This window comes from Homo sapiens, chromosome 9 (genome assembly GCF_000001405.40).
Source record: "Homo sapiens chromosome 9, GRCh38.p14 Primary Assembly".
In the NCBI taxonomy this organism is placed as follows: Eukaryota; Metazoa; Chordata; class Mammalia; order Primates; family Hominidae; genus Homo; species Homo sapiens.
In genome coordinates this window covers 69,895,152-69,908,555 of record NC_000009.12, presented here as the reverse complement: position 1 = coordinate 69,908,555, position 13,404 = coordinate 69,895,152, and the positions used below count along the sequence as shown (strand labels likewise).

At 38.1% G+C, this 13,404-nt stretch overlaps 1 protein-coding gene across 10 annotated transcripts in view; it reads right to left on the bottom strand.

Annotated features, from left to right (window-relative positions):
- Positions 1 to 2,328: 2,328 nt before the first annotated feature.
- CFAP95 (cilia and flagella associated protein 95) overlaps positions 2,329 to 13,404 on the bottom strand; it is an 85,411-nt gene continuing 74,335 nt past the window's right edge. For 5 of the 10 annotated variants that reach the window (NR_131756.2, XM_011518230.3, NM_001010940.3 and 2 more), the window contains one exon: positions 2,329 to 2,602. Coding sequence is in view for 7 of the 10 variants with exons in the window: in NM_001010940.3 (NP_001010940.1) it covers positions 2,420 to 2,602 (183 nt within the window). In the remaining 3 variants the exon portion in view is untranslated. Of the gene's footprint in view, positions 2,603 to 6,167; positions 6,302 to 10,012; positions 10,085 to 13,404 lie in introns of those variants that run through there. The other 5 variants (XM_011518229.3, XM_011518234.4, XM_011518233.3 and 2 more) reach the window with 3 other exon arrangements.

The following is a 13,404-nucleotide window of genomic DNA, read 5'->3' as shown; positions in this document are numbered from 1 at the left end:
ATATAGTGTGATTTTGGGTTCTCGGGTGTGATTTTGAGGTTTCATTTGAATGAGATATTGATGTAGATACAGATCTTATTAACTTTGTAAACACAAAAGATATAGTGTGATTTTGGGGTCTTAAGTGGGGTTCTATGACACATACACATGGACCAGTCAGGAGACAGTGTAGTCACTTCCCACAGAGGACATTATCCAACAATGAAATCTGAATTCCAGCTTGTCTTATTTGAAGTGGTCTTTGATGCTGGTGAGATGAACCATTGAAGTGCTTACCTCAATATAAAATATTTTTACCTAAAAGATCAAGTTGTTAGAATAACGTAGAGTTCATTGAGTCCAACATTCACTCATTCACTCACTGAAGGCAACGTAATGCTTGTCATGGGGAAAACCCCTGCAGTAACCTTTATTTCAGTGCACCATTTTCCTAGGCTAGTTTAAATACAATCTCTCTTATTTCATTCTCCTTCTAACCCAAACCCAAACTGATTTATAAGGTGATCCCTAATAGCAGACCTAGTCGTTTATACAAAATGTCATGTTAGTCATCGTGACAGTATAACATTTCTGCTAAAGTAAGTGAATCTTATTTTATGTTCTAGGCACCAGGCAGTGTTCAAAGGTAATGATGTGGCCATTAAAACTTTTTCTCCACAAAAAGAAATTATTAAATGATGAGTGGCTTGACATCCAGATTTGCATACTTCAAATAGCTCTTCACCCCAGATATATTAGTGTTAGGAATGGTTAAACTTGGATGTATAGTAAGTGGAAGGAAAGGTAATCCTAGGTAGATATCTACTAGAATAAGTACTACATAATGAATTAACATTTATATAGACTATATTATACTTAATGTATATGTAATATACATAATTAGCATATATAATATACGTATTTGTGTGCATATGGACACACATTTTAAAGCAGCAGGAAATTATAGTAAGATTCTTCTGGCACATGCTTACCTGGTATATCACATTTTCTATATTAATTATCATTTCTGTCATCAAAAAGCTTATAGTCTTTTTTATATCTTGTGAATCCAGCACTAGAGGCAGTGTTCAATTAGCATTTATCATGAAATGCTAGTTCGTGAATGTTATTTTTTAAAGAAAAATAAGTAAATGAAGCCCAAGTTGGCCAAATAATTAAATACATCCTCAGAAGAAATAAAAGTTTTCAAATGCACCTCAAAGATCCATCAGAATCTGCTACTCCTATAACCCTGGGCAACAGCTATGAACTGAATTCTGTTCTCCCCAGATTTATATGTCAAAGCCCTTACACCCAATGTGGCTATCTGAAGATAGGGTCTTTAGGAGGTAATTCAGGTTAAATGAGGACATAAGAGTGGGGGTCTAATCAAATAAAACTGTAGCCTTACATGAAGAGGAAGCGAAAGAGGTCCGCCACCCCCATCCCCCTCCTGCCATGCAAGAACAGGGCAAGAAGGTAACAATCTTAGCAATTGTTTTGACTCACCTTCTTATTTTACAGAAATTTATTTTTGCATGGTTTTGGAGGCTGAAAAGTCCAAGATCAAGGTTCTGGCAGGGTTTATTTCTGGTGATGGCTGTCTTCCTGGCTTGCAGACTTCTTTGTTGTCTAAGCCACCCAGTCTATGGTATTTTGTTACGGTAGACCCAGCTGACCAATACAGCAGACTACTTAAATCTCCATGGACCTCTGTTTGCTCATCTGTAAAATGTGAGGGTAAGTCAAAACAATGGCTAAGATTTCTTCCAAATCTAACACTAGATGACTAGATTTCCCATCAAACCCCTAGAGTTTCACAAAGATTCTATCTGCACCTCTGCTATCCATATACTCAAAAGGTCTTAACTTGAATAAGGAAAAATGTCATGCAAAATAAATAATCCACAATGAAACTAGCTACCACAGATAAATAGAAATTTATAGATACCAATTTCCCCCTCAAAAAAAAATCACATACATACTCAGCATTATTATAGGGCCAGTGTTGCCTAAACTTTGGCCATTTGAGTTTTATGTCAACCTATATATTTATTCACTTAAAATTTGTCTTCTGTGGAATTTAAGTTGGCCTACTTTTTTATAATTAGCCACACCCTAAGCAATCATAACCTTGACTGTGCTAGTTTTATGTGTTTTTCTAATAATTATTAAAACAAATACATAATCCATAAAATAATGTTTCACTAAATACCATCTAGAATTGTGTAGCATGCTCTCAGCAAGACACACAATAAACTTCGGAAAATACCAGAGTAGCTTATGAAAATAAGGATATAAACACTGGTCCAGAAAATAAGACTTTCTGCTTAAAGGAATCTACTATAGTAACACTTCCATTGCATTTATTAAGATAGAAAATCATCAACTGCTACATCCATTTTTCATTAGTCAGAGATGCTGATTCTATACATTATTTTTAAATTGGCACAATAGGCCCACTAGTCAAGGGATAGAGTTTCTGTTTTACATCTGAATTAGCATAAATCCCACTCTCATCATGCCAAGTGTTGATGCCAAATCTTTTAGAACCATTTAGATCCGTGAACTGAGAACGGCATTTTCTGTGGACTATGGAATAATCATCTTGACAGGGATAAGCCTATGGGGGAAAAAAGAGAAATAATATTTAATAACTGAAGTATGTAAAAAGAAGTAATCTTCAAAAGTTTATTTTTCATATATTATTCTTATGATTGAAGGTTAATTTTTAACAATTGATTAATTTGTTCTCTCAAATAGCAAATGTTTCAGTTAAAAAAATGGCTATTGCATTCATAATTACTTCAAAGCCCAAAAAAAGAATATAATTCATGGTTGTTTATAAAACTAAAAAGTTACCACACATGTAAAATTTTTCTAAACCACAAATACACAGCATAAAGAACAATTTAAATTTTATGATCATATATATAGACCAAAACAATTATAATTTAATTACAATTCAACACCTTTTAAAAATATGTTATAACCATTGCAAAGAATAATATCTTGGGTTATATCTTTAATAATTGTTACCAAGTCATACTTCCCATGACACTGGTAAATGCCAAGCTCTGACACATTGCTGTAAGAATTTACCTCAACATAACCCAGTGTAGTGTTTAAGATGTTTATCCTTAGGCCACTTCAGAAAAGCTTCATTGTAATAAAACAAGATATTATCATTGACTATTTCCCAAAAGATATATTGATTCTTTCCGATTACACCAAGGGTAATGGCAGACATGGAACATAAAGACTTTTAACTGATTATCTAATTTCTGCTTTAAATTGGCTCTAATTTTAAAGCACTAGGACAATGTTGAAATTAAATCACCAAAGCTATAAAACAATGAAAGAACACCAAAATAGTTACAATCTTAGATGGGTTTTGTCAAAAATAATTGAAAATTATCATCATATATTCAACCTTAATAGTGTCCATGTATTTATTGAGTGCCTATTATGGGTTAGGCACAAGTATTGAGTGTTTATATTTTTTAATCCATAACTGGGCTCTGAGGTATGAATTATTACACCCACTTTACAGGTAGAAATGATGATTTGCTTAAAATCTCAGGAGAGAATTTAAAGAAAGTCAGTAATAAGCGACTAAGCCAGGACTACAGATTAGATCTATCTGACTATAAAACTCATTATCCCTCCAGAACCCTAACAAAACCTTTATCAATTAAGAGATGAAAATAAATATCAACTATAAAATTGCAGAGCTACATAATATCTGTGTCACTGTTCTGTGTAGTTTGGGCTTTTGCTTTTGTCATTCGGGCTATTTCTTCAGGTGTTATGGTTGGTTGCTTGGTGGGTAGGTCAAATAGAGGTCCTTTAAATGAGATTTGAGCATCACTGGCCAAAATGTTCCCTCAAAGGGAGGTGAGATCTTCTCATTCCCATCCCTGCTGCAGTCAAACTGAAGAGAGCCTCAAATACAGCGTCTATGGGCTCCTTCAGCATTTCATAGGCAGAGAGAAGGATTTTTATGAGGTGAGTGACAAGATGAAATGTGCTGTTCTAGGAAAGTGATTCTGGTAGCAGAAGCATTAAAGACTAGAGGAGGAAAAAACTGGATACTGAAACAGTGATTAGAATTGGATCTCAATCATTCACATGTCATCAATTACATGAATAAACAAACACGGTCTAGACATACAATAAAATATTATTTGTCAACAAAAGGAATAAAATACCGATACATGCTACAGAATTGAAAGACCCTGAAAACATTATGCTAAGAAGCGAAACCACATATTGTACAACTTCTTGTATTAAGTGTGCAGAATAGGCAGATTCACAGACACAGAAAAGTATACTGGTGATTGACAGGAATGGGATGATGGGAAGGAATGGGGAGTGACTGTTAATAGATACTGAGTTTCCTGGGGTGACAAAAATGTCCTGAAATTGATTGTGGTGGTGATTGTACAATCCCATAAATATACTAAAAAAACACTGAATTGTACACTTTAAAAGGGTGAGTGTTATAGTATGTGAAATTATATCTCAGTGAAGCTGTTATTAAAAAAAGAATGGGCCGGGCACAGAGGCTCACTCCTGTAATCCCAACACTTTGGAAGGCCAAGGTGTGAGGATCACTTGAGGCCAGGAGTTTGAGACCAGCCTGGGCAACACAGTGAGACCACGTCTCTATAAAATAAAAAATTAGCTGGGCATGATGACACGTTCTTGTAGTCCCAGCTACTCGTGATGCTGAGGTGTGAGGATCACTTAAGCCTAGGAAGCTGAGATTGCAGTGAGCCATGATCATGACACTGCCCTCCAGCCTGGGCAACAGAGCAAGACCCTGTCTCAAAAAAAATGCATTGGAAAAAGCAATTCTGACATTAGAAAAACTAGTTAAGAGACTGTTGCCTGTTAATCCATGTTGGTTACATTGGGTTCCTCTCATTCTCAGTGCTGTGTTGGTAAACCAGCTCTAAAAAATTAAAATTGTAATATTTGCCAATTTCTGTGGCATAAATACTCCCACTAAGGCTAACTTCAAGTTACCAGAGTGAGGTCAGTGAACACTGAAGAAGAGGTGAGCATAGTAAGCTCATGGCAACTGTTAAGAGCTGGCTCCAGCTCACCCATGAGTCCGCTTCTCCCATTTTCCAGGGTGTAGCAGGGATGTGGTTTGGGTAGGACTGATCTCAGTCCCAGGTCTAGGAGCAGAATCTAACTGGCTGAAGATAATCAGAATAGTGGCATCTCATTCTCAATGACAGTAATAGGTTCAGTGTTAGGCATTTGACTTAAATTGGTCCAAACAGATTAAAGCCCAGGACTTCTGTTCAATGGTTTATGTGAAAGAAGTTCTTTTTCCACGATTGGACATAAATGAAGAAGCATCTATCCCAGGGTGCAGTTTGCAGCTCTCCTATAACCAATCTAGCATGACACCAACACCATAAAAGTCACATCTGACAGTCAGTAAGAAACACAATAGCATTACTATATCAATCCTTTCCTGAAGTCTGACTTTTTAGAACATGGAAGCCAGTAAATTGCTTTTATAGTCTGACCCAGTTTGAGCTGGATTTTGTACATCTTATTAAAAGCATCCTAACATACACCTGAATAATCTACAATATTGGAACACTGAGGTACTTGGAATCAGAGGAAATAAATGGGTCAAAACCAAGGGAGCAGGGCGTATATGAAAAGTAGGAGTGAAGGAAAACAGGAAATTTGTGACAAAGCATACAACTAGGAATCAGAAACATGCAAACATGAAATAGGAGAACAAGGCAGGTATTCAAAAATTAGAACAACTTACTAGAAACCTAGAGGGTATAATTATTATAAGAAAGCAGAGAGAGTATGCTTTTCAAAGTTTAACACAAAAAGCATGAAATAGAATAGAAAAAAAAAAACAGGTATACCAAGAACAACCTTAAAAAACCTTACTATTGACTGCAGCTCAGAACCAAGGCAAAATTGGTATTGTGGGAATCCTGGACAAGAAAGTCGTTTGGTATACCACTCAAGTCAATAAAGCGGGTAATAACTGGAAAATTATTCATGTGTTTTCCTCTTTCCATGTATATAACCACCGATTTGTACTTTGTTTCAGAAAAACACCAACCAAAGAGAAAAGTCATACCAGCTTCTAACATACAAAATAGGATTTTTGAGCAAGACAATATCCTTGTAATCCCACTCACAGTTTTGAGGACTTTAGAATGTCAATGATCAAACCTGGGAGATTATAGAGTTCTCCAAATGGGTAGAGAAAATATCCTTTGCTATGAAGGCTTAGAGAAGAGTTGAAATGAAGAGGAGGAAGATAGGGAAGAACCTGTCAAGAGAATTGTGAGAATTAAAAAAACAAAGGGGAAGGGAAAGCAGAAAGGGCCAACATTATGTGCCAATTTTCCCATCCCTGGGCTTTAATCAGGCAAAGTCCCTTTGACCTGAATAGTGAATGTTACACTAGACGAATGAGAATGATGGCAAAAAATACATAGGATCTCTTTGTAGATTCTGGATATTAGCCCTTTGTCAGATGAGTAGATTGCAAAAATTTTTTCCCATTCTGTAGGATATGAACAGACACTTCTCAAAAGAAGACATTTATGCAGCCATAAAACACATGAAAAAATGCTCGTCATCATTGGCCATCAGAGAAATGTGAATCAAAACCACAGTGAGATACCATCTCACACCAGTTAGAATGGCGATCATTAAAAAGTCAGGAAACAACAGGTGCTGGAGAGGATGTGGAGAAATAGGAACACTTTTACACTGTTGGTGGGAGTGTAAACTAGTTCAACCATTGTGGAAGTCAGTGTGGCGATTCCTCAGGGATCTAGAACTAGAAATACCATTTGACCCAGCCACCTCATTACTGGGCATATACCCAAAGGATTATAAATCATGCTGCTATAAAGACACATGCACACGTATGTTACTGCAGCACTATTCACAATAGCAAAGACTTGGAACCAACCCAAACGTCCATCAATGATAGACTGGATTAAGAAAATGTGGCGCATATACACCGTGGAACACTATGCAGCCATAAAAAGGATGAGTTCATGTCCTTTGTAGGGATATAGATGAAGCTGGAAACCATCATTCCGAGCAAATTATCGCAAGGACAAAAAACCAAACACCGGCCGGGCGCGGTGGCTCACGCCTGTAATCCCAGCACTTTGGGAGGCCGAGGCAGGTGGATCACGAGGTCAGGAGATCGAGACCATCCTAGCTAACACGGTGAAACCCCGTCTCTACTAAATATACAAAAATTTAGCTGGGCGTAGTGGCGGGCACCTGTATTCCCAGCTACTCGGGAGGCTGAGGCAGGAGAATGGCGTGATCCCAGGGGGCGGAGCTTGCAGTGAGCCAAGATCGCGCCACTGCACTCCAGCCTGGGCGACAGAGCAAGACTCCATCTCAAAAAAAAAAAAACCAAAACCAAACAAAACAAAACCAAACACCACATGTTCTCACTCATAGGTGGGAATTGAACAATAAGAACACTTGGACACAAGAAGGGGAACATCACACACCAGGGGCCTGTTGTGGAGTGGAGGGAGGCGGGAGGGATAGCATTAGGAGATATACCTAATGTAAATGATGAGTTAATAGGTGCAGCACACCAACATGGCACATGTATACATATGTAACAAACTTGCACGTTGTGCACATGTACCCTTATACTTAAAGCATAAAAAAAAAATACATAGCAGCTTCCTGGCCCCCATTTCTGTTGGAAACTCTTGAAACAGATCAACTCTCAGATGGCCCTTTCCTTTCACTAGCATGGTCAGACAGAGGGAACCACTAAGACTCATCAATCTTGAGCCACTTTTGTTTTCCTGTGGCATGGATGAGATCCTAAGGTAGCTGCAAGTCTGCAGAGGAAGATACTAACAGGGGCTGCAGAGCCGACCATTGGAGCTGGGGCTGCATAAGAGTCACAGAAGTTGTCTGTGGGGTGTACAGTGTCTATGGGAATGGAAATGAGGCTGAGTCATCCCAGACAGGCCTTCTGGGCTCCAACCAAGCCCAAGGATAAAGAGAAAAAGATTGCCAGTTACAATGTCTATAAAGTTTGGCCACTAATGCCAGCAAAGAAAAGAGCAATGAGGTAGACTAGGGATATCACCTCAGAGAACAGAACAGGCAGAAAATACCACACGTAAAACCCTCCTCCTCCCTTCTGGCATCAGGATGCTAAGTCACATCCTTCTCTTCATGTATCTGGATGCCATTGTAGGGAAAGCTGCATTCTTGTTGCTGCAAACAACCCACTCTGCTCATACTAGTGTAAAACAATAGTCATGAGGAGAGAAAAATATACTTTTTTCAGGGGAGAAAAGAGTATGGTGTATTGGGGTCCCCAATACCACCTCAGGTTTGATGATCTAGGAGGACTCACAGCTGTGGGTGTATATGCACACACACCTATATACAGACGCTCCTCAATTTGCAATGCAGTTACATCTCAATAAACCCATCTAAGTAAAAAATAAACTCATAAGGTGAAATGCATTTAATACCAATAAATGCATCATAAAGTCAAAAAATTGTAAGTTGAACCATCGTAAGTCAGGGACCACCTGTATAGTTGTACTCATGGTTTTGATTTATTACATAAAAATGATACAAAGCAAAATCAGCAAAGGCTATGGGCTGACATCCACAGGAAACCAGGTGCAAATTTCCAAGAGTCCTCTCCCAGTGGAGTCACACAGGATGAGTGTAAATCCCCCAACAGTGAGTTGTGCCATGCTGTCTGCTGGGAAAGCTAATTGCAGACTCAGTGCCCAGAGTTTTTACTGGGAGCTGGGTCATGTAGGCAGCCTCTGCCTAGCATGTCCCAAAATTTCAGACTCCCAGAAGGAAACAGGTGTTCAGCATAAAACATATTGTTTGCACAAACATTTTAGCCACAGTGGGTCATTCTAATCAGGGAATTCTTATCCTGAAAGCCAAGTTTCTAGATGCCAATCAAGGACCAACATTGTGAGCAGGCTTTGAAAGGATAGTAGTCTCAGTTCTGCTATGTTAGCTCTTCTCTGCACACACAGGATGGGAGAGGATCTCTGAGAAAGTGAGCGTTTTCTTCAGGAGGGATTAAACACTTTCTATAGAAAGCAGAACTATTTAAATTATGGCATCAGACTAAGCTTTAAATGGATTGAAGAACTTATGTTTTCCCACTGGTGGTGGGCTCCAGAAGAAGGTCAAATATCAGTTAGATAAATTTCCTCTGCATACGTGAGTTGCAGACAGTTATGTTTTCCACACCCTAACATAATAGGTAAATCTCTCTTCAACATGTATTTAGTGGGAATGGGAAGAAAGTGTGTATTGAAACAGATTTGTGAATTACTATATGTTACTGTTGGCTAGGTCACTATTCGGTGCTACACACACAGAGTTGTGACAGAGTTTACTTAAGGAAGGACAAGCATTGCAAGCTTTTTCTGAGCCCTTCAGGTAGATGAGTGTAACCAGAAGAATTTGTCTGATGTGTGGAATGAGTGGGCATTAGTGCACAAAGGCTTATGCAGAATGAAAGAGTCATTTCACAGGAAGAACATAAAGGACTTACACAGCTAACTGAGGACAAAGAACCAAAGATGATTCATAGCTTCAAGCCTGGAAGGCCAGGAGAGTTATAATAACACTGAAAAGAATTAGAAAGACATGGGGGTGGGGATGATTTGTTTTAGGGGGGAAATGATGAGTCACATTTTAGACATTTTTAATTTAAGATGACATCAGTAAAAAATGTTTATTTGGAAGGTAGTGCTGTGGGACAGATGGCCTAGAGAGAAGTCAGTGCCCTATGCACAGCAGTGATCACTGGCAGGGAAAAAATAGCTATAAAGAACATTATTGGGACCATGGATGATATTTAACATGGACTGTGGATTGTATAATTGCACTGTATCAATTTTCCTGAAATTGAAAACTGTACCACAGACACTCATCCTTATTTTTAGGAGATACACATTGAACTATTTAGGAGCAAAAGGGCATGATGTCTTCAGCCTACCTTCATATGGTAAACAGCTATCAACTCTGCAAAGAATATATGGAAGCTCCTTGTGCCATTTTTGAAACTTTCCTGTAAGTTCGAAATTATACAACAATTAAAATTACCCCCTGCCCAATGTTGATTGGTATACAGCCATGGCAATTGATGAATTCTCTGAGATTGTGTAAAATGAGAGGTGCAGGGATCTGGGGCACAAATGTTGGGGAAGCCCATGATTGGGTCCATAAAGAAGCCATGAAGGACAGACAAGGAGAGGTTAGGAGAGAGTGTTGCAATGTCATAGGCTCTGAAGAGGGAGGGAGGCTGAAGAATGTGGTGGTAATCAACAATTGCTAAGCTCCAAAGAAGCCTAACCCAGAGTAGCATCTGACAAAACACAACAATGTCAATTAACCTCTAGCCACCCTTGAGGGTGCATTTTCAGTGAAGGGTTGGGGGAGTCCCATAAAACATGCTGGTAGAAGGAGGAAAAGAAAGAGCACCAGAGAAAGGAATACTGAGGGCAAAATAGGCCCTGCCAAAACAGGAAGCACTGGAGTTGCAACAAAAGAATCACCATAGGGGAAAACTGGCTTTCAGAAGATTGGTTAAGAAAGCATTCTTCTTTCTTTTCTTCTTGTTCTCTTCCTTCTCTTTCTTCTTCCTCAGATCATGGCAAGGCAGGTTAGGATGTTAAAGGAGGGTCCTCCTAGTGAGTGGTTCCCCCAACCCACCTTCCCTCATGGTTTTACCACTTACATCAGTAAAATGCATTAATGTATCTTTAAACAATGGGGTCTCCTGGTATCCACTCCACCTCCACCCCCATTGCCCCTTGTATGCTCTATCCTTACTCTAAGCACCATTATCTCCTGCACCTTTTTTCGGTAAAATGATAATGCTACTTCTTAGTCAACTGTATAGCCAGTCCTTAGCTGATTTTTTTCAATCTTCTGGTAGGCTATTCCTTGGTTCTACTCATTCATATAGGATTTCATCCTTTTTCTTTAGGACCTTTCATTTCTGATAGTTTTATTTTTCAAGGTCATTTTCAGTTTTAGGACTGCCTTCTGGAACGTAGTAACTCTGCCTAATTTAATATTACAGGATAATTTGGAAGCATAGTCTCAATTCCTTCATCCAGATCATCCATAAAAATGCATAATGGTTTATGTTTCCTGGCCAAATTAGTCAGTGCAAACTAACCTTGCGTCCACCATTAAAGATAGCTATTAGCCACCTGGCATTAGCACAGCAAAAACCATTCTTCCCCAGTATGCCTATAAGGATGCTCATTTTGAGTGTTCCATTTACTTTTAAAATGATATTTGAGTTAGTAAGCTTATTTATGTGAATGTCACATTGGATGGAATGAAAATAGATATAAAAGTAAATTGTTGTGATATTTTGTTTCATTATTTCCAGCATACATCATGTATAAAAGTCTTTACCAATTACATGCACTTGACTGAAGACTTGCCTTCCTCTAATAAGGTAGTTAAGCACACATGCAGAATGGTGGGAGGAAAAGAAGAATTACCCCACAGTCAAACCTACCTTATCTGCCCTGGGGACCAATGGGGGATGGGTATCTCAGGTGGATTCCCTCGTTCATTTACTTCACTAAATTTAAAATATTTTATTTCTTTTATTTTTTCAAAATTTTTTTTTCAGAGACAGAGTCTTGATGTGTCACCCAACCTGGAGTGCAGTGGTGCAATCATAGCTCACTGCAGGTTTGAACTCTTGGCCTCAAGCCATTTTCCCATCTCAAGCCTCCCAAAGCATTGGGATGACAGGTGTGAGCCACCGCACCTGGCCAAGTTTTATTTCTATTGGATATTTTTTCCTCCAATGATTGTGTCACAAACATAAGAATAATTGGCAAATGTAGCTAAACAAATATGTAACTAGTGGGATATATTCTTATGTATTTAAGAAGTATTTACTACTCCTATTTATTTGATAAAGTTTTAGGAGGGAGAAGCATTTGTAACAAATACAGATATTAACAGAGCATGAGACTCTTAGCTACAGGGAAATAGCCATGGGAAGTACAAAGAAATTTAGGCTGTGGATAGAAATATAAATATCTCTACCACTAATGAATCCAGTCAACATAGTAAGGTTTCACTACAAAAAATATGAAGATCTATGTAAATGAACACTTCACAAATAAATTGACTTTTAAAGATTAATATCACACAAATTTTTGTTATGGCCAGCATCAAAAACTAAGCAATACACAATTAAACATTAGCTGTTGATATATTTGTTTGTTTCTAATGCACAAAATTGATTGGTTCTATCACTTCAATCATATAAAACACAAATACGATTTTTCTTATTCTTCAGTCTATATTATGTGAGGACATTTACCTTTGCCACTGTTTTATAATGGAATGACTTAATGGACTGTATATCAATTTGAGGCCTAGGCTTCTCAATCTTTAAAACTTTATTTCTCCTTACAAAAGTTTTATATGTTCACTGTAGAAACTGAAGATAATCAAAAAGAAGAAAATAAAATATCTCATAATTCCAAGTTCTCTGAAGCAGAACTTAGCTTCATGGCCTAACTTAGAAACAAATGTTAGACCAGGCCAGGCGCAGCAGCTCACGCCTGTAATCCCAGCACTTTCAGAGGCTGAGGCAGGAGGATCACTTGAGCCTGGGAGGTAGAGATTGCAGTGAGCCGAGATCATTCCACTGCACTCCAGTCTGAGTGACAGAGCAAGACTCTGTCTCAAAAAAGTTAATAAATAACTTCAGAGGCAACATAAGGCAAAAGTTAAGTTTCTGGAGAAATAGGGTATCTCTCTACTAAAAGAATACAACTCTAAAAAACAATCCGTTTCCTGAGAATTAAGACCCCACAATTTCTCTACTGTTGGTGATACACAAGATGAGCAGGAAGTTAAAATAATTAATTTATAATTAAGTATAATTAACATTTAATTTTCAACTAAGTTTGAATTAAATGTCTACCAAGGTCTTTAATCCGAAAGGATACTTGGTCATAAATAAATTACTATTTCAATGGGAAAAGATCATTGAGACAGAATCAAATCAAATCAAATAGTAGAATCTGAGAGCCAGAGAGCTTGGAAAGATCACTGTGTCTGTATCAGTCAAAGATCTCCAGAGAAACAGAACCAATAGAATACACACACACACACACACACACACACAGAGAGAGAGAGAGAGAGAGAGAGAGAGAGAGAGACTGATTTTAAGGAATTGGCTCACATGATTGTGGAGGCCAGCAAGTAACTCAGGAAGGATTTCTATGTTACAATCTTGAGACTGAATTCCTTTTTTTCCAGAAAACCTTAGTTTTTTGCACTTAAGGCTATAAACTGATTCAATGAGCCCCACTTACATTATTTGGAATAATCTTTACTAAAAGT